Raw genomic sequence first — 19,294 nt, 5'->3', positions numbered from 1 at the left:
AATTGCTTTCACACCTTGTCCTCAGTGCTCACTGGGCCTCTTCAGTTTGGAAATTTATGTCCTTGAGTTCTGGAAAATGTATTGACTTATTTCACTGATGATTTCTTCCCCTCTATATTTTCTGTTCTCTATTTCTGGAACTTGGTATTTGGCTGTTGGGCCTCCTGGACTGGTGTTTAATTCTCTTATCTTTTCTGTCTGATTTTTAAATTTATCTTTGTGGTCCACACTTTGGGAGATTTTAAAAAAACACTTTATCTTCCATCTATTGACTGTTTAATATCTGCCCTCATATTTTAAATCTTCAAGAGCTATGCTTTGTTCTTCTATACTACTTATACTTTTATAGCATCCTATTCTTGTTTCATGGGTGCAGTATCCTCCTTTTTCTCCCTAGGGCTATTAATGACAGTTCATTTCCTCCATAGTGCTTTTTTTTTTTTTTCTGTGTGGTTGTTTTGTTCACTCTCTTTTATGTTAAAGGCTTTCTTTAGATGTCCCAGGATTCTGGATTATCTAAAAAACCTGATTGTCTAAGACAGCTGTGACCCATGAGTAGGACTTATCCACCAAGGGCTTCCTATAGGGTATTCTGGTTGAGTTGTTTCATCAGGAAATTCCCAGTGTCAGAGTCCTGAGGCCTTTTTTTCCTGGGATGGTCATGCTCCACAGAGAAGCTTCCTCCAGGCTGTGGCTTGGGTGAAGGCCTGGCTTTCACACTGTGGGTAGGGGAGAACACTGGGCCTCTCAGCTTCAGTACCAGGCTCACGTTCTTTATTTGTCTGGGAAAGACACTTGCAATTGTCCCTCAAGGAGGGGGACGGGTGGCCCTCGGGGAGGGAGAGGGCGTGGGTATCTCACTGCCTCAGAAACAGACTTCCAAACTACCTTCCTCTTTTTAGTCCCACCTCTACTCACCACCCAGGTACCCGACACACCAGTTCCTGAGTCTGTTCTGCCACCTAACTACGTGGCTTCTCAGCTTTTCTAGCCGCAGGTTTAGGATGCAGTTTTTTTGGGGTCTACTAAGGGACTTAACACTTGCTCACCTGCTTTCCTGCTTCTCAAATTCTATTGTTTTCTCATCTCCTGTTCTCTTTGTTCTTGTAGATTTACACTTAAAACAACCTATGGTCATTTTAGTGACAAAAGCAAAGTGAGAGAGGAAGCAAAAGTAAATGTGTGCTCTATCCATCATTACAATCTTCAAAAAATAAGACCTAATTCATGTACCATAACATTCACCCTTTAAAAACTGTATAAAATTCAATGGTTTTTTGTACATCCACAAAGTTGTGCAACCATCATATCTATTCTAGAATATTTTCATTACCCAAAAGGGAGCCCCATACCTGTTAGCAACCACTCCCCCTCCTTTCTTCCCCACAGCCCCCCAGCAACCCCTAATCTATATTTTGTCTCTGTGGATTTGCCTATTTTGGGCACTTCTCATAAATGGAATCATACAATGTATGGCCTTTTGTGTCTGGCTTTTTTCACTTAGCATAATGTTTTCAAGGGTCATCTATGTCGTGGTATGAATCAGTACTTCATTATTTTTTAAAGTAACAGTTTTATTGAGTATTCATTCCTCTTTATGACAGAGTACTATTTCATTGTATGGATACACCACATTTTGTTTACCTATTCATCAGTTGAATATTTGGGTTGTTTCTACTTTTTTGATATTATGAATAATGGCCCTATGAACATTCATTTGTGGGCAAATTTTTGTGTGGATATAGGATACCATTTGTCTTGACTACACAGAAAATAGCTTAATAAATATTTGAGCTGGGCACAGTGGCTCACGCCTGTAATCCCAGCACTTTGGGAGGCCAAGGCGGGTGGATCACTTGAGGTCAGGAGTTCGAGACCAGCCTGGCCAATGTGGTGAAACCCCATCTCTACTAAAAATACAAAAAAATTAGCCAGGCATGGTGGCGCACAGCTGTAGTCCCAGCTACTCAGGAGGCTTAAGCATGAGAATCGCTCGAACCTGGGAGGTGGAGGCTGCAGTGAGCCGAGATCACATCACTGCACTCCAGCCTGGGTGACAGAGCAAGACTCTGTCTTAATTAAATAAATAAATAAATAAATATTTGAACAGTACAGTTTCACTTTTTTTTTTTTTGGTGGGGGTAATATCCATCATCTCAAACTTTTATCATTTCTTTGTGTTGGGAACATTCAATATCCTTTTTCCAGCTGTTATTGAACCTAGCGAGGTTCTGCTCACATGGCATCATAAGGCCAAATATTTATATCGAGGTTTGTAGTGGAATAAAAGAGGGTATTTATTTGTAGACGACCAAGTAAAAGAATTGGGCATCTCATGCTTAAGAGCTGACCTTGGTTGGGTGCAACAGCTCATGCCTATAATCCCAGCACACTGTGGGGCCAAGGCAGGAGGATCACTTGAGTCCAGGAGTTTGAGACCAGCCTGGGCAATATAGTGAGACACATGGTCTCTACAGAAAAATTAGCTGAGTGTGGTGGTGTGTACCTGTATCCCCAGCTACTCGGAGGCTGAGGTGGGAGGATCCCTTGAGCCTGGGAAGTTCAGGCTGCAGTGAGCCATGATTGCATCACTGCACTTCTTCAAGGGGGACAGAGTGAGACCCTGTCTCAAAAAACAAAACGAAACAAAGAAACCCATCTCCAATGAGTGGCTTATAAGCAAGGATTTTTTTTTTTTTTTTTTTTTTTTTGAGACAGAGTCTCGCTCTGTCACCCAGGCTGGAGTGCAGTGGCGTGATCTTGGCTCACTGCAAGCTCCGCCTCCCGGGTTCACGCCATTCTCCTGCCTCAGCCTCCAGAGTATCTGGGACTACAGGCGCCTACCACCACGCCCGGTTAATTTTTTGTATTTTTTTAGTAGAGATGGGGTTTTGCCGTGTTAGCCAGGATGGTCTCGATCTCCTGACCTCGTGATCCGCCCGCCTCGGCCTCCCAAAGTGCTGGGATTACAGGCGTGAGCCACTGCCCCCAGCCATAAGCTAGGATTTTAAAGGCAGGGGTAAATCTGAGGAAAGCAGAAGTTATAGGCAAAATTCTAAATCAATACATGAAGGTTATATATTGGTTTGACCTAAAAAGGTGGGACATCTTGAAGTGGGGGTCCACAGGTCATGGGTGGATTTAAAGATTTTCTCATTTGTCATTGGTTAAGGACACGAACGTTTGTCTAAAAATCTGGGGTCAGAAAAAAGGAATGTTAGCTCTGGCCTGTGGGCATGACCTCCTCCAGGCCCCTCAGAAAGAAATTTATTTATTTTTAATGTTTAAAATGTATTATTTATTGAGACAGGGGCTCGCTCTGTCACCCAGACTGGAGTTTAGTGGGACAATCAGTGCTCACTGTAGCCTCAAACTCCTGGGCTCAAGTGATCCTTCTGCCTCAGCCTCCCATCTAGCTGGGACTACAGATATGTGCTGCCACACCTGGCTAATTAAATTTTGTTTTGTTTTGTTTTGTTTTTGTAGAAATGGGGGGGTCTTGCTTTGTTGCCCAGGCTGGTCTTGAACTTCTGGCCTCAAGCAGTCCTTCCACCTTGGCGTCCCAAAGTGCTGAGATTACAGGTGTGAAAGGAAGAAATTTAGAGCAAAGATTGGTGGTTAGAGTTTAGTCCTCTGCTCCCCCTTGTCTGAGATCTATGAGCCAGTGGATCTGTTTGGTGGGGGTCTGGGTTTATGAAAAGCAATGCAGGGACATAAGTTAAGATGTTATCTTTAGTTTTTATAGGGAGCCAAATACCCCATGATTCTAACTTTTTTGGCTATTGTCTTAAGTTATTACTATATTTTTGTTTATCAGCTTGCTCATTTACTTCTCAAGGCTAGCTAGGTGCCTGAAATACTTTTGAAGAAACGTAAGTTTCTTTTTCTTTTCTTTTCTTTTTTCTCTTTAGAGATGGTCTTACTCTGTCACCCAAGCTGCAGTACAGTGGCATCATCACAGCTCACTGCAGCCTGGACACTCAAGCCTCCGGGGATCCTCCTGCCTCAGCCTCCTGAGTAGCTGGGACTACAGGCACGTGCCACCACGCCTGGCTAATTTTAGAAAAATTTTTGTGGAGACGGGGGTCTCACTGTGTTGCCCAGGCTGGTCTCGAACTCCTGGCCTCAAGCGATCCTCCCACCTTGGACCTGCTAAAGTGTTGGAATTACAGGTGTGAGCCACCATTTCTGGCCTAGATTTTTCTCTCTTTTTATGTTGGTGGGGTGCTCAGCTGGCCCCTAAGAAGGGTCCCTGCTCTGTCTCACAGCTATTTGAAACTGTATGTTATTGTTAACTATAGTCATCCCACAGGGGTATAGAAAATGAGAACTTAGTCCTATCTAGGTGCAATTTTGTATCCTTTTGCATCCCCGTCCCTCCCTTCCCCCTACCCTTCCCAGCCTCTAGTATCCTCTGTTCTACTTTTCACTTCTATGAGTTGAACTTTTTTTAGCTTCCACATATGAGTTAGAACATTCTGTGTTTAACTTTCTGTTCCTGGCTTATTTCACTTACAAAATGTCTCCAGTTCCATCCAGTTTCATATCTTCAGCATCTTCTATGGTGCGAGGCTCTGGCTAAATGCTTATTTAGTCTAACAGCTCTGCAAGGCTAGTATTACCATCCCTGCATTACAAAGCAGAAAGCAAAATCAGAAAGGTTGAGGGGCCAGGCGTGGTGGCTCACGCCTGTAATCCCAGCACTTTGGGAGGCCAAGGCAGGCGGATCACGAGGTCAGGAGATCGAGACCATCCTGGCTAACACAGTGAAACACCATCTCTACTAAAAAAATACAAAAAATTAGCTGGGTGTGGTGGCGGGCACCTGTAGTCCCAGCTACTTGGGAGGCTGAGGCAGGAGAATGGCATGAACCCGGGAGGCGGAGCTTGCAGTGAGCCGAGATCGTGCCACTGCACTCCAGCCTGGGCAACAGAGCAAGACTCTGTCTCAAAAAAAAAAAAAAAAAGTAAAGAAAGGTTGAGGGACTGGTTCAGGGACTCACATGCCTAGGATGTTTCTGACTTGGGATTTGAACTCAGGTCTGGCCACATCAAAGGCCATGTCTGCTCTTCGCTCTCCTCCCAAAATACATGTACTATCTCATTTGACTCTTGAAATCCAAAACTCATTGAACCTTCGAACCACAAGTCTAAATTTATTAAAAAAAATTTATTAATGCAAATTGTAAAGCACACACAATACATAAAGATTAATAAAACAAATATGGTATATAAAAGGAAACTTGTTTTTTTACACTCACAGCACTTCTGACACCAAATGTGTGGATTTTTTCTACACCAACAACAAATGTTCTAACTCTCTGGACACCAACTGGGCATCCTACAATTCAATTCTGTTCAGACACTATCTACCTGGGGTTAGCATCTGAACCCATAGGTTGAGGGCTCAGTCAGACAAGACTCATCCACTTCAGATGCCAATCCTAAGTCCCGGGACTCCAGTACTTCTGATGAGTTGGCTACAAATTGGGAGTTCCCACGACTCCCTCTTCATACTTGACAAATAGCTACAATGGCCCACAGAACTGAGAAGCACTTTACTTACTATTACCAGTTTATTATAAAGGATACAGATGAGCAGCTGATGAAGAGGTCTATAGCGTACGGCATGTGGGAGGGGTCCTGAACACAGCAGCCTCTGTCCCTGTCCTTGTGGAGTTGGGGTGCACCACCCTCCTGGCACATGGATGTGTTCGTCTACTCGAAAGCTCTCCAAACCTAGTTGTTTGGGATTTTTATGCAAGTTCCATTATGTAGACATGGTTGGTTAAATCACTGATTGAACTCAACCTCCAACCCCTCTCTCCTCTCTGGAAGTCGGGGTGGGGCGGGTGGGGGTGAGGTCTGAAAGTCCCGACCCTCTCCTCACATGGCACCCAGCCTCCATCTGAAGCTCTCTAGGGGCTTTCAGCCACCAGCATTTCCTGAATATATAAAAAAAGACATTCTTCTCACTCTGGAGATACTTTTTTTTTTGAGATGGAGTCTCACTCTGTTGCCCAGGCTGAAGTGCAGTGGTGCGATCTCGCACCTCCGCCTCCAGGGTTCAAGCGATTTTCCTGCCTCAGCCTCTCGAGTAGCTGCGATTACAGGCACACGTCAACATGTCCGGCTAATTTTTGTGTTTTTAGTAGCGGGGTTTCACTATGTTGGTCAGGCTTGTCTCAAACTCCTGACCTCATGATACACCCACCTCGACCTCCCAAAGTGCTGGGATTACAAGCGTGAGCCACCGTGCCTGGTCTTTTTTTCTTTTTTTTCTTGTTTTTTTTTTTTTAGACAGAGTCTTGCTCTGTCACCCAGGCTGGAGTGCAGTGGTGCGTTCTTGGCTCACTGCAGCCTCTGCCTCCTGGGTTCAAGCAATTCCCCTGCCTCAGACTCCCAAGTAGCTGGGATTACAAGTGTGTGCCACCATGCCTGGCTAATTTTTAAATTTTTTGTAGAGACAGGGTTTCACCATGTTGGCCAGGCAAGTCTCGAACTCCTGACCTCAACTGATCCTCCCGCCTCAGCCTCCCAAAGTGCTGGAATTACAGGTCTGAGCCACCACACCCAGGCTTACTCTGGAGACTCTTTGGTTCTTAGTGGTCCTTGTGTCAGGAACCAGGGACAGAGACCAGAGACGTTTTTCACTATGTCACAGCACAGGAGCCTTGCCAACACAGTCCCATCCTCCCAGGCACCCTTTCCCAGGCTGTCCTCTTCCCTCCCAGCACAGGCCCCCATTCTCCTGGATCTGAACCACACAAGGAGGCAGAGGGGTGGAGTGGTTAAAAATGCAGGCGCTACTACTTTCTGGAGGTGTGATCCTGGACAAGAGCCCCTGTGTCCCTATCTGTAAATGGAGATGATAAAACACTCCTCAAAGGGCCTCCGTAAAGATCACAGGAAACAAAGCATGGACAACGTGCCTGGCACGAAGGAGAGCTTGGTAAGTGGAGGCAAGTCTGAGTGCCAGAGCCTTAAAACCATGGACTCTTAGGTTTGAAGGAAATCAAAATATTCCTCTCTAAAAACCTGCGGATTTTAGTTAAAGGTAAAAGGTTAAAACCCAGGGGCACCCTCTGCCCCTTCTCTCTGTCTTGATCAGCTCAGAAGCAGAGCTCAGAGGATCCTGGATCAGACTTGACTGTTCCCATACATTCACCTTCCCACATTTCCAGCCCTTTGGAACCCTGAAGATATCCTCTTCTCTGTCCTGTCACTCTATGGGACTTACGGCTCTTTGTTAAAATACTATTTAAGCAAGGCCCCTAAGCCACTGCCTTGAGAGAGAAATACTTCTCAACTGAGGCCTCTACTGCATAATGGGTACAGCATGTGTTAATCAACTTTGGCTGATTTTTCTTTTGTTAAGTTGACTTTTGTTTCCAGGGGAGCGTGTCAACTAAGAACCTAAACAGGGAAAGAAAAGAAATGTTTTCACCCCTGCACGTCGTCCAAACTTCCTCCTGCGTGTTTGAGACGACATAACGGAGGCCAGAGAAGAGGACTTGTCTGAGCTCACCAAGGGTGCACAGCCCCTTTCTGCACCCACTCATCTGTGGATGAGAAGGGGAGACAAACAAAGGTGTCTTCTGTTTCAAAGTGCTTTCCTGTCTAGGGAGTGGACATTTGCCTGTTTCTTGAAACATTCAAAGAGCCTTATGAATCCAAAGGCCTGCCCAGAAACAAGTGATGAGGGCCCTGGGCAGCCAATGGGATCGTGCTGGCCTTTCTACCTGCCTGGGGAGCCCCCCCGCCCCACATCCTGCCCCGCAAAAGGCAGCTTCACCAAAGTGGGGTATTTCCAGCCTTTGTAGCTTTCACTTCCACATCTACCAAGTGGGCGGAGTGGCCTTCTGTGGACGAATCAGATTCCTCTCCAGCACCGACTTTAAGAGGCGAGCCGGGGGGTCAGGGTCCCAGATGCACAGGAGGAGAAGCAGGAGCTGTCGGGAAGATCAGAAGCCAGTCATGGATGACCAGCGCGACCTTATCTCCAACAATGAGCAACTGCCCATGCTGGGCCGGCGCCCTGGGGCCCCGGAGAGGTATGTGTGAGCACCAGGAAAGGGCACACCGATCCTGGACTGCAGAGCCGTGCGCATGTGCTGGGAAGAAGCACCGGCCAGGAGTCACAGGAAAGAGGGATTCAGGCTCTGACTCTAACATTGACTTTTTGGGTGATTTTGAGCAAGTCTTTGGCCTGCTCTGGGCTCCGGCTCCCTCTCTTGTCAAATGAGGGGGTTCCTTTAAGAGCAGGAGTTTGTAACTTTCCTTGCATCACACCGCCTCCTTCTGAAAAGCAGAAGAGAGCATGGGTTCTCTCCCTAGAGTTTCACATGCTATGCAGGGGCTTTGAGATCCCACTAAAGCTGGGCTGTGAATGCTAGGTTAAAGGCCTTGGAACAGGCTGTGCCTGGTGGCTCCCGCCTGTAATCCCAGCACTTTGGGAGGCTGAGGCGGGCAGATCAGCTGAGGCCAGGAGTTCGAGACCAGCCTGGCCAACATGTTGAAACCCCATCTCTACTAAAAATACAAAAATTAGCCAGATGTGGTGGTGTACACCTGTAATCCCACCTACTTGGGAGGTTGAGACATGAGAATCACTTCAACCTGGGAGGCAGAGGTTGCAGTGAGCCAAGATTGTGCAACTGTACCCCACCCTGGGTGACACAGTGACACTCTGTCTCAAAAAAAATAAATAAATAAATAAAGACCTTGCACCAGATTTTGAAAATGTTCAAGATCCCAGTGGAGAAAGAGTTTCTAAAAGAGGATGGTAGAAGCAGTTCTTCACAGAGGAGTTCCCTCCTAATTACCACGGATCAAGGGAATGATAGTTGCAGGTGTCTGTAGAGTAGATGGAGACATCTGCCATCACAGGAGGGATTGTGAGATGTTGGGGGCAGGCAAGAAAGGAGGGACAGGCTCTGGTTAAATTTCTGGAGGGGGCTCAGGGTTGACGGGGGTCATGTCCTTGCCTGTGCCCCTCTCCCTTGCAGCCAGAGGCCAGCACAGCCATCCAGGGGACACCAGGCCCCCACTTCCCAGCCCCAAAATAGCCTCACCCATGTGTTTCCCTCAAAAAGGGCTAGAAGGCTATTACCCCAATGCCCCTGCTACCCCCAGTCTCCAAAAAGTAATTTGCGATCTACAGGGACTTACAGCTAGGTGTGATGTCAGCTGTTGCCAGGCAGAAAGGGGTTTGGGAGAACCCTGCAGAGATGTTATGACAAGCTATGTTCTGGGGAACAAGGTAACCTGCTGCAGACCATTAGAGCTGTGGCCTGTGAAAACCCCAGGGAATCCCATGGCAAGGAGGGAGACTGTTTTGTGAGGAATGGATTCAGGTCTAGGCCACGCGTGACCTTGGATAAATCACTGCCTCTCCCTGAGTCTCAGTAATAATATAATAGCCATAATAGTTCTCATCCACTGTGTACCTGTCACCAGGCCTCAGCCACTGTTAGTTAGTACTGTGATTATTTACATACGTAAAGGCTAAACTCAATTTTAATTCTTACAGTCACCCTATGAATCAGGTACTTTTGTTGTCCCTTTTTACAGAAGAGGAAATTGAGGTCATATTGGTAAGTGACTTACCCAAGTAATCATAGCTAGTGAGTGGTTGGAGGCAGAATTTGAACCAGGACTAGTCTGACATCAAAGTGTTAGCTCACTCCACCATTTGGCCCCCTTTCAGAGGTGCATTTTGTGGGAAGGGGAGGTGAGACCCCTCTGAGCTCAGACCACTCAGTGATTTACAGACCCAGGTGGGCTCAGTGTTCAGAGTGCATGTCCCCTTGTCTAATCCTTGTCTAGTTTTCCCTTTATTCAGTTACTGCTTCTAAAGCTGGCTATGTGTGCTTAGGCCATTCCAGACTGGAGCCTGTTTTGGAGGCTTTTGTGAATGCTTCTGCCTGGCAACATCTGTGTCACGATTCCTGCTAGCTCTGGTTGGCTCCTGACTTTGGCTTTTTTTTTTTTTTTTTTAATTGCAGAAGAAGGTAGTGTAAATGAGGAAATAAAGAGGGGGGTGACAAGAGTTGGCACTCTACCAGAACCAGGGGACAGGCGTTCAAGATGCATAAAGAGGAAGAAAAGCAGATGCTAAACTTAACTACGAACTCCCCTGAGAATTGCACTGAGTGTAATTTATTTATAGAGTGCTAACAATGTGCTAGGTGTGGAGCCAAGAGCTTTACCCTCATCATCTTATTTAATGTAACAGCCCTTGGAGCAGATGTTTTACCCGATTTTACTCACACAGAGGGTTAATCAACTTAGATGGTCCCAGAACTAACCGACTCCAGAGCCAGGATTCCAATCCAGGTTATGTGGTCTCGTCTTCAGGGTGAATCTCTAGGTTCTTAGGCCTCCTGAGGAACTGTGGTGCAGAGAGGGGAAGGTACTGTCCCATGTCGTGTGTGGGAGGTAGAGCTGGGGCTAGAATTGGGTGTGGGGTTGCAGAAGCACTGAACAGGTGGAGGATGAGGCTGGAGAGCCTGAACACAGGCTAGGCCACCCGTGTTCCTTGAGAAGGCCAAGAAGTAGAATTTGTTTTCCCTTCCTGTCTGGTCTCCCCACTTCCCCCCCGCCCCCCGCCCACCGTCGGGTTTTTGCTGTTTCCTTCCCGAATAACTCTCCCTTGGGCTGGGCCTTATCCCAGAAAGCACAGACTGGCACGCAGCAAGCCAATGAGAATGAGCCAGTCTGTGATGTCATGAGTTACCAGGCACAAGGGACTCCTGGAGCGTCCTAAACCATCCTTGCTGGTTGCTGGAGTAGGCAGGGTGCAGCCTCATCCTTGCAGTTCCCAATGGGTCTGTTTTAGTCCGTTTTGTGCCGCTTTAACAGAATACCACAGACTGCGTAATATACAAACAAACAAACAAACAAACAAAAAACACCCAGAAATTTATTTCTCACAGTTCTGGAGGGGCTTTCTTGTTTTTTTTTTTTTTTTTTGTTATGTTTTTTGAGACAGAGTCTCACTCTATCCCCCAGGATGGAATGCAGTGGTGTGATCTTGGCTCACAGCAACCTCTGCCTCCCAGGTTCAAGTGATTCTCCTGCCTCAGCCTCCTGAGTAGCTGGGACTACAGGTGCCCACCACTACGCCCGGCTAATTTTTTCTTTTTTTTTTGAGATGGAGCCTCACTCTGTTGCCCAGGCTGGAGTGCAATGGCATGATCTCAGCTCACTGCAACCTCCACCTTCCAGGTTCAAGGGATTCTCCTGCCTCAGCCTCCCGAGTAGCTGGGATTACAGGTGCTCGCCACCACGTCCGGCTAATTTTTGCATTTTTAGTAGAGACAGGGTTTCACCACGTTGGCCAGGCTGGTCTCGAACTCCTGACCTCAGGTGATCTACCTGTCTTGGCTTCCTAAAGTGCTGGGATTACAGGTGTGAGCCACCGCGCCCGGCCTAGCTTGCTTTCTTTTTTTTTTCTGAGACAGTCTCCTTCTGTCACCCAGGCTGGAGTGCAGTGACGTGATCTCGGCTCACTGCAACCTCCGCCTCCCGGGTTCAAGTGATTCTCCCACCTCAGCCTCCCAAGTAGCTGGGACTAGAGGTGCACGCCACCATGCCTGGCTAAGTTTTTTGTATTTTTTTGTAGAGACGGGGTTTCGCCATGTTGGCCAGACTGGTCTCGAACTCCTGGCCTCAAGTGATCCACCTGCCTTGGCCTCCCAAAGTGCTGGGATTACAGGCGTGAGTCACCACACCCAGCCTGGTGAGGGGCTTCCTTGATGTGTCCTCATATGGTGGAAGGCAGAAGGGCAAGAGAGAACCAACTCCTTCCATCAAGCCGTCTTACAGGGCACCTAATCCCATTCGTGAGGGAGAAGGCCTTGTGGCCCGATCACCTCCCAACACCTTCACATTGGCAACACCTGGACTAGGGTCTTAGTAGTCCCACCCCTGGGGTCGTCAAAGAACAGATCAGAAACTCCTGGGGTGTAGGGGCAGGATCCTTACATCCCCTGTACTGTAACATATGCATGCACCCCCCAGTCGCATCCAAGTCCCACAGATACAAGGGCTTGCTGAGGTCCGAGGGTCTGGATGGTGAGTCCAGGGAGCATGAGAAATTCATCCAGGCCACACAGGCTCAGGCACCTATACTCCTGCCCACCCCCTGCAGGATGGATATTACCATTTGAAATACTTTGGCGCTTGCAGTGAGATCTTGCTTAAAAGAAGAAACCCACCAAATTCTAGAATCGCAGAGGTGGGGGCACCTATGTGACAAATGAGGGAACAGAGGCACAGAGATTGGCAGGGACATGCTCAAAGACATGGAGAGCCTGGGCAGAGGATGGCCCCAGAGTGGGTGGTGCCTGGCCCTGCTTCAGCCTGACATTGTCCAAGCCTCCCCCAGCCCACTCCTAAAATGGCCAGGCCCCACTTCTTCCCAGGTGGGCTACATTTTCTGCTGTCCCGGTCCCACTTCCTTACCTTTTCTCCTTAAATCTGATTTCACTGTGAGGGTGGGAGGTTGGGCAGAGGGGTGAAAACCCTCTTCCCCTTACTTGGTAAGCACATACAATTTTTTTTGGTTTTGTCAATTAAAAAAAATAACATACCTGGTTGATCCTGCCAGCAGAAAAAAAAAACAAAACAAAAGGCTGGGCGCGGTGACTCACGCTTGTAATCCCAGCACTTTGGGAGGCTGAGGTGGGTGGATCACGAGATCAGGAGATCGAGACCACGGTGAAACCCCGTCTCTATCAAAAATACAAAATAATTAGCCAGGCGTGGTGGCGGGTGCCTGTAGTCCCAGCTACTCGGAGAGGCTGAGGAAGGAGAATGGCATAAACCCAGGAGGTGGAGGTTGCAGTGAGCCGAGATCGCGCCACTGCACTCCAGCCTGGGCGACAGAGCAAGACTCCGTCTCAAAAAACAAAACAAAACAAAACAAAACAAAAACCAAACCTGTTCCCCTTGAGGGCAGCCCTGATCATCAGGAGATCCGCACGGCAAAGGGAGCCTGGGAAGACCCCCCCACCTCAACCCCTCATCGCACAGGCAGGACCCTAAGGTCCAGAGAGGACAAAGAGCATGCCTCTTTGCTCTTCTCTGTTCAACTCAGGCCCGTGGCAGCTGCAGGGTCTCTGCCAGGGAAGACTTCAGGCACATCGATGGTTGGAAGGAGGGGTGGGGTGAGGTCTTCAAGCTGTGTTTCCATAGCCAGCTTACTGTTTGTGCTTCAAATGCATTGTTTATTAGGGGTGGCTTAGGGGTCTAATGGAGATGGGGGTATACATTTCCCCATTCCTAGCCAGCCCTTGGGGCAGCCACCACTGTGGATCCTCCTCTGACCTATCCTCCCCACCTCCCACAGCAAGTGCAGCCGCGGAGCCCTGTACACAGGCTTTTCCATCCTGGTGACTCTGCTCCTCGCTGGCCAGGCCACCACCGCCTACTTCCTGTACCAGCAGCAGGGCCGGCTGGACAAACTGACAGTCACCTCCCAGAACCTGCAGCTGGAGAACCTGCGCATGAAGCTTCCCAAGCGTGCGTGCACCCCTACATCCTGATACCCCCCACCTCCCACCATCCCTCAACTCAGAGACCCGCATCCCTGCACCCAGCTGGGCCCACTGTCCTCTCCCTCCGGTTTGGAATTCCAGCCCTTCCTCATCTGGGTCTGATACCCTCCTCCCTGGGCACCGGGGCCACACTTACCCTCGTTCCTGTCCCCACAGCTCCCAAGCCTGTGAGCAAGATGCGCATGGCCACCCCGCTGCTGATGCAGGCGCTGCCCATGGGAGCCCTGCCCCAGGGGGTAAGGACAGCCCCAGGGTGGTGGGAGGGGCAAGGTTATCCCGCCTGGATGGAGGACAGTGCCAAGGGGAGGGGCAGGGAAGAGAGCCCACCTGGGGAGGGGTCCTGACTGCTGCGGGAGGGACAGTGCCTGCCTCAGGAAGAATCGGGCTCCCCAGGTGTGGAGGGCACAGGTGAAGAGTCTCTTGGTGCCATCCCTGGGAGGAAGGCTCAGCCCTCTACAGTTTACAAAGTGCTTCTCATTTCCTATAGCATCTCACTGTCCTCTCCCATTCTCAAAGACCTTGCTATCATGCATTGACAATATTTATATTCACAATACTGTGCTGTGGACAAAACCCTGGGCAGGAAAGCTTATGCCAGTTTGACCAATGAGGACATTGAGGCAGGAAGCTAAAGTGACTTGCTCGAGCTCTCATGTTTGGAGGTGGCAGAGATGGAACCATTGACCAAGTGCCTGCGATTCCAGTCTCTTACCTAGATCCCAGCAACCGGCTCCTGCTCCATACCCCCTGCTCCAGGGACCAGCTCTGGTAACCTTCTGTTACTTCCTCCCACAGCCCATGCAGAATGCCACCAAGTATGGCAACATGACAGAGGACCATGTGATGCACCTGCTCCAGGTGAGTGCAGGGAGCTAGCTGGGTGGTCCTGCCTGCCCACCCAGGACCCTGGCCGGGCCAAGCTCCAAGGCCTGTATACCTGGCTCATGGCAGACTTTCAACATGTGCTCTCTGGATTACTGAATACAAGGGTGACCCTTAAATGTTATATGTAGTCTGGCCTCTGCATTTTTGAGATAAACAGGCTCGGCTGGGTGCAGTGGCTCATGCCTGTAATCTCAGCACTTTGGGAGGCCTAGGCAGGCAGATCACCTGAGGCCAGGAGTTCGAGACCAGCCTGGCCAACATAGTGAAAGTCTCTACTAAAAATACAAAAATTAGCCGGATGTGGTGGCAGTCACCTGTAATCCCAGCTACTCATGAGGTTGAGGCAGGAGAATCGCTTTAACCCGGGAAGTGGAGGTTGCAGTGAGCCGAGATCATCACGCCACTGCACTCCAGCCTGGGTGACAGAGTGAGACTCCATTTCAAAAAATAAAATAAAATAAAAATAAAAAAAGAAACTGAGGCTCAAAGTTTGGAAGTGACTTGCTCAAGACACCCTTTTTTTCTCCCCAAATTTGTACTGCGTGTCTGTCCTATGCCAGCACTGTGCAAGGCTCTGGGCCCACAATGGGGAGCAATTGGACCCAGCTCCTGAAGCCATGGGGATCCCAGGCTAGTGTGGGAGACAGACAAGTGACCAGGTGATGACAGAAGTGCAGGGGGCTTTGTGAAGAAAGAGGCAGAGGACTCAACCTAGCTGGGGGCAGTCAAGGTTGGGTCCTCACCTGCTGGAGCAGGTAAGACCTGAAAGCTGAGCAGCCATCCACAGGGAGGACACTGGGGCTTGTTGGTAGAGCTGGCCTGGAATCTGGAACTCGACTCGCAACGCTGCAGTCTCGTAGCTGAACAGCTGGACTACCCTTACCCGTACCCTCCCCTCCCCTCCCATCATGGCTGAAGTCCAGGGTTTAGGCTTGGTGTAGCTCTGGTCCATTCCTCAGAATGGAAGACCAAGGGAACGTGGGCTACACATTTCACACTGCCTGCCAGGGAGCTCTTCTTGAACCATCCTTCCTGCCCTGCTACCCTGTAGAATGCTGACCCCCTGAAGGTGTACCCGCCACTGAAGGGGAGCTTCCCGGAGAACCTGAGACACCTTAAGAACACCATGGAGACCATAGACTGGAAGGTCAGCAGGTTTCCCTGCATGGGAACTCTCTCTTTCCTCTGGTGTCTAGGGCAGGGCTAGGAGAGGTGGGGTGAGGGTGGGCTGGGGAAGCCATTCTCAGGAAGCTGAAGGGGTTTACCAGCACTTCCAAAACCTGGATGCTGCAGAGTATGTGGGGTTCAGCCCCAGGGGTCTTTAAGAGGGAACCAGGCTGCAGCTGGACCCGGGTGTTGGGGCCCTATTTGGCCCTGCATGTTTCTGTCCCCAGGGGCAAAGCCAGGCAGTGTAGGGGCTTGGTGGTGGCCATCGAACCTGACCTCCACCTCTATCCGTATTAGGTCTTTGAGAGCTGGATGCACCATTGGCTCCTGTTTGAAATGAGCAGGCACTCCTTGGAGCAAAAGCCCACTGACGCTCCACCGAAAGGTACAGGGAGTGGGAGCTTTAGCGTGCCAGGGCTTCTGGACCCTCGGGGCTCTCCTGAAGCTGCTGAGGCCGGGGCCTCCAGCACTCCCTGGTCCCAGCACCGCGGAATCTCCCATCCTCTCAGCTCTCACTTCTTTCTCACTTCTCTCTCTCTCCTGTCTGTTCCTTCTTGGTTTGGCTGTCCCCCTCCCCTGACCCACCCCCATCTTGTCTAAGGGTTCCTAAGGGCCCACAGAGGCCTGTCACCACAGGGTACAGGTGACCTCTCTCATAGAGGATGGTACAGCACAGGGTGCCTGGGGTAGAACCTGCCCGAAACACTGCAGAAAGGAATCCTTGTAATGACCTTGCCCCAGTGCTGCCCGCAATCCAGTGAGGGCGCCAAGGTCACAGCTGCTGCCAAGAGAGCCTTGGGCGTTTCCCACCTCATGGACAATGCAGACTAGGATGTTTTTAGACCCAAAGACAGAGTGCTGTTTCTATCCCGGTGCTGTCTCTAATTTGCTATGTAACTTTGGACAAGTCCCCTTCCCTCTAGGATTCAGGGTCCTGAAGTAGAAGGTCAAAGGGCCACCCTGCCTGGGGCCTCAGTTTCTGCATCAGATTCATAGAAGGCACCTTACATGCTATCTCCAACTCCTAGCTGATGCTTAAACCCCTCTAAGACATCTCCAACAAACGGTAAACCCCATTTCTACTTGAGAACTCCCAGTAACAGGAAGCTTAGACTTACCAAGGTGCCCATTGCTTTTCTCTAGAATCAGAATCGCAAGTGCAATTCCAAACTGTAATGGTGTTTTTTTGTTTGATTGTTTGTTTTTGAGATAGAGTCTGGCTCTGTCGCCCAGGCTGGAGTGCAGTGGTGCGATCTCAGCTCACTGCAACCTCAGCCTCCCGGGTTCAAGCAATTCTCCTGCCTCGGCCTCCCGAGTAGCTGGGATTATAGGCATGTGCCACCACGCCCAGCTAATTTTTGTATTTTTAGTAGAGACAGGGTTTCACCATGTTGGCCAGGCTGGTCTTGAACTCCTGACCTCAAGTGATCCGCCCACCTCGGCCTCCCAAAGTGCTAAGATTACAGGCATGAGCCACTGTGCCTGGCCCAAAACTGTAATGGGCTTTGAGTGTCAGAAGAAACCATCAACTTCTGAGGTGAATTGGACACATGGCCATTCACTTCCTTTTTGATCTCAGACCTTGTTGGTCTAGGCCTCAGTTTTCCCATCCGTGTGATGGCTGGAGTGAGTAAAGCCACTTGGGAAGAAGGCATTAAGCCCACAGCAGTGGTGTGTGGGTCTTTAGCTCTGCTCAGACCCTGGTTCAGAGCTCACTCACTCACTGTGTCCTCATCATGCCTGTCGCTTCAGTACTGACCAAGTGCCAGGAAGAGGTCAGCCACATCCCTGCTGTCCACCCGGGTTCATTCAGGCCCAAGTGCGACGAGAACGGCAACTATCTGCCACTCCAGTGCTATGGGAGCATCGGCTACTGCTGGTGTGTCTTCCCCAACGGCACGGAGGTCCCCAACACCAGAAGCCGCGGGCACCATAACTGCAGTGGTAAGCAGTGGCACTGTGCCAGTGTCAGAGGACCAGGAAGGACTAGGAAGGTTGAGGGGCAAGAGGTCCCCTCTGAAGCACATGGGACCAGGACACCCAGGATGGCAGCTCCTGGGGGCAGTGACGTAGTCATGCGTCCAGCCCTTTATCCATCCACCCACCTGTGCATTCCTATTTGTCCATTTATCATCTCTCCTCTTACATGCACTCATATTTGTTCACTTATCCGTCAGTCCTTTCATCTGTGAATTTCATCCATCCACGCGCCATCCTCTAGCATCCAGGAGTCCTACAGACCCACCCATCTCATTTCATCACCCCCTTCTCACTCGAGCCCCCATTACACCTCTTTGTTGCTGCTTGCAGCTGTCCTTCCCTGGGTACCTGCTTTCCCAGGCACTAAGCCTGTGGCTAGGTGGGAAGCACTGCCCTCAGGCATCTTGGGTCAGGTAGGCTGCACTTCAAGTGACAAACGGACTTGCTGCTCCTTTGCAGAGTCACTGGAACTGGAGGACCCGTCTTCTGGGCTGGGTGTGACCAAGCAGGATCTGGGCCCAGGTAAGGGCCTTGCAGAGGGGCATCTGGTCACCAGCAGCTCATCCCCAGCAGGGCCAGCTCCTTTGTGGGCAGGTGAAGGAGTGTGACGCTGGGCCACTCTCCAACATTCCTGGGATGTCCATTTCACAGACGAAGGAACAGGGTTGGGGGGCTGTGGGGAGTTACACAAATCCATGATGGTCATTATTGGACCTGAGCAGGGGGCAGGGGAGGGTGGACAGTCCTTAACTGCTCTGCAGGTCCAGGATGTTAGAAAGGGGCAGGGACAACAAATGGGTGACCCCAACCTCAACCTGCTGCTTCTCTCTCCAGTCCCCATGTGAGAGCAGCAGAGGCGGTCTTCAACATCCTGCCAGCCCCACACAGCTACAGCTTTCTTGCTCCCTTCAGCCCCCAGCCCCTCCCCCATCTCCCACCCTGTACCTCATCCCATGAGACCCTGGTGCCTGGCTCTTTCGTCACCCTTGGACAAGACAAACCAAGTCGGAACAGCAGATAACAATGCAGCAAGGCCCTGCTGCCCAATCTCCATCTGTCAACAGGGGCGTGAGGTCCCAGGAAGTGGCCAAAAGCTAGACAGATCCCCGTTCCTGACATCACAGCAGCCTCCAACACAAGGCTCCAAGACCTAGGCTCATGGACGAGATGGGAAGGCACAGGGAGAAGGGATAACCCTACACCCAGACCCCAGGCTGGACATGCTGACTGTCCTCTCCCCTCCAGCCTTTGGCCTTGGCTTTTCTAGCCTATTTACCTGCAGGCTGAGCCACTCTCTTCCCTTTCCCCAGCATCACTCCCCAAGGAAGAGCCAATGTTTTCCACCCATAATCCTTTCTGCCGACCCCTAGTTCCCTCTGCTCAGCCAAGCTTGTTATCAGCTTTCAGGGCCATGGTTCACATTAGAATAAAAGGTAGTAATTAGAACACTCTGGCTCCTGGCTCTTCTGTTGAGATCCAGTTCATTTATCCTAAAGAGGTAACTAAAGACGCTAAATCCAGTCACTGAGGTGGGAGAACGCAGCCCAAGTAACCCACAGAGATGCCTGCGGGGCCAGGCAGGCCTGGGGGGGGGCTTGTAGTCTTTGGACACAGACATACTTGATTACATGTTTAACACACACGAACACTCTACTTCCAAAAAGAAATAGGCTCTTGCCTAGTTTAAGCACAAGCTCTTC

General features: G+C 50.0%; 1 protein-coding gene across 6 annotated transcripts, besides 10 other annotated features; it reads left to right on the top strand.

The window, feature by feature from the left end:
• Positions 7,291 to 8,200: an enhancer, noted in NCBI's record as "active region_23414". NCBI's record gives its function as "activates an Ori minimal core promoter by ATAC-STARR-seq in GM12878 lymphoblastoid cells {active_cell/tissue: GM12878}" and the evidence as "EXISTENCE:reporter gene assay evidence [ECO:0000049][PMID:35858748]".
• Positions 7,410 to 7,979: an enhancer, noted in NCBI's record as "H3K27ac-H3K4me1 hESC enhancer chr5:149792263-149792832 (GRCh37/hg19 assembly coordinates)". NCBI's record gives its function as "activates a minimal SCP1, AML or CMV promoter by ChIP-STARR-seq in naive H9 embryonic stem cells {active_cell/tissue: H9 hESC(naive)}" and the evidence as "EXISTENCE:reporter gene assay evidence [ECO:0000049][PMID:30033119]".
• On the top strand, positions 7,769 to 19,040 carry CD74 (CD74 molecule). 6 transcript variants are annotated; one of them, NM_001025159.3, is made up of 9 exons: positions 7,769 to 8,054; positions 13,355 to 13,527; positions 13,719 to 13,798; positions 14,358 to 14,420; positions 15,499 to 15,594; positions 15,912 to 15,999; positions 17,367 to 17,558; positions 18,054 to 18,116; positions 18,429 to 19,040. In NM_001025159.3, exons 1-9 carry the CDS (start codon positions 7,930 to 7,932, stop codon positions 18,437 to 18,439), a joined length of 891 nt encoding a protein of 296 aa, NP_001020330.1. In that variant the 5' UTR covers positions 7,769 to 7,929; the 3' UTR covers positions 18,440 to 19,040. The 6 variants fall into 6 exon arrangements, 5 of the variants coding, with proteins under 5 accessions (NP_001020330.1, NP_004346.1, NP_001351012.1 ...); NM_004355.4 differs by lacking the exon at positions 17,367 to 17,558; NR_157074.3 differs by lacking the exons at positions 15,499 to 15,594; positions 15,912 to 15,999.
• Positions 9,401 to 9,450: an enhancer, noted in NCBI's record as "active region_23413". NCBI's record gives its function as "activates an Ori minimal core promoter by ATAC-STARR-seq in GM12878 lymphoblastoid cells {active_cell/tissue: GM12878}" and the evidence as "EXISTENCE:reporter gene assay evidence [ECO:0000049][PMID:35858748]".
• Positions 10,051 to 10,100: an enhancer, noted in NCBI's record as "active region_23412". NCBI's record gives its function as "activates an Ori minimal core promoter by ATAC-STARR-seq in GM12878 lymphoblastoid cells {active_cell/tissue: GM12878}" and the evidence as "EXISTENCE:reporter gene assay evidence [ECO:0000049][PMID:35858748]".
• Positions 13,031 to 13,090: an enhancer, noted in NCBI's record as "active region_23411". NCBI's record gives its function as "activates an Ori minimal core promoter by ATAC-STARR-seq in GM12878 lymphoblastoid cells {active_cell/tissue: GM12878}" and the evidence as "EXISTENCE:reporter gene assay evidence [ECO:0000049][PMID:35858748]".
• Positions 13,421 to 13,470: an enhancer, noted in NCBI's record as "active region_23410". NCBI's record gives its function as "activates an Ori minimal core promoter by ATAC-STARR-seq in GM12878 lymphoblastoid cells {active_cell/tissue: GM12878}" and the evidence as "EXISTENCE:reporter gene assay evidence [ECO:0000049][PMID:35858748]".
• Positions 14,421 to 14,470: an enhancer, noted in NCBI's record as "active region_23409". NCBI's record gives its function as "activates an Ori minimal core promoter by ATAC-STARR-seq in GM12878 lymphoblastoid cells {active_cell/tissue: GM12878}" and the evidence as "EXISTENCE:reporter gene assay evidence [ECO:0000049][PMID:35858748]".
• Positions 15,361 to 15,410: an enhancer, noted in NCBI's record as "active region_23408". NCBI's record gives its function as "activates an Ori minimal core promoter by ATAC-STARR-seq in GM12878 lymphoblastoid cells {active_cell/tissue: GM12878}" and the evidence as "EXISTENCE:reporter gene assay evidence [ECO:0000049][PMID:35858748]".
• Positions 15,451 to 15,670: an enhancer, noted in NCBI's record as "active region_23407". NCBI's record gives its function as "activates an Ori minimal core promoter by ATAC-STARR-seq in GM12878 lymphoblastoid cells {active_cell/tissue: GM12878}" and the evidence as "EXISTENCE:reporter gene assay evidence [ECO:0000049][PMID:35858748]".
• Positions 18,561 to 18,830: an enhancer, noted in NCBI's record as "active region_23406". NCBI's record gives its function as "activates an Ori minimal core promoter by ATAC-STARR-seq in GM12878 lymphoblastoid cells {active_cell/tissue: GM12878}" and the evidence as "EXISTENCE:reporter gene assay evidence [ECO:0000049][PMID:35858748]".

This window comes from Homo sapiens, chromosome 5 (genome assembly GCF_000001405.40).
Source record: "Homo sapiens chromosome 5, GRCh38.p14 Primary Assembly".
Taxonomy (NCBI): Eukaryota; Metazoa; Chordata; class Mammalia; order Primates; family Hominidae; genus Homo; species Homo sapiens.
This window is presented reverse-complemented; position numbering and strand designations above follow the sequence as displayed.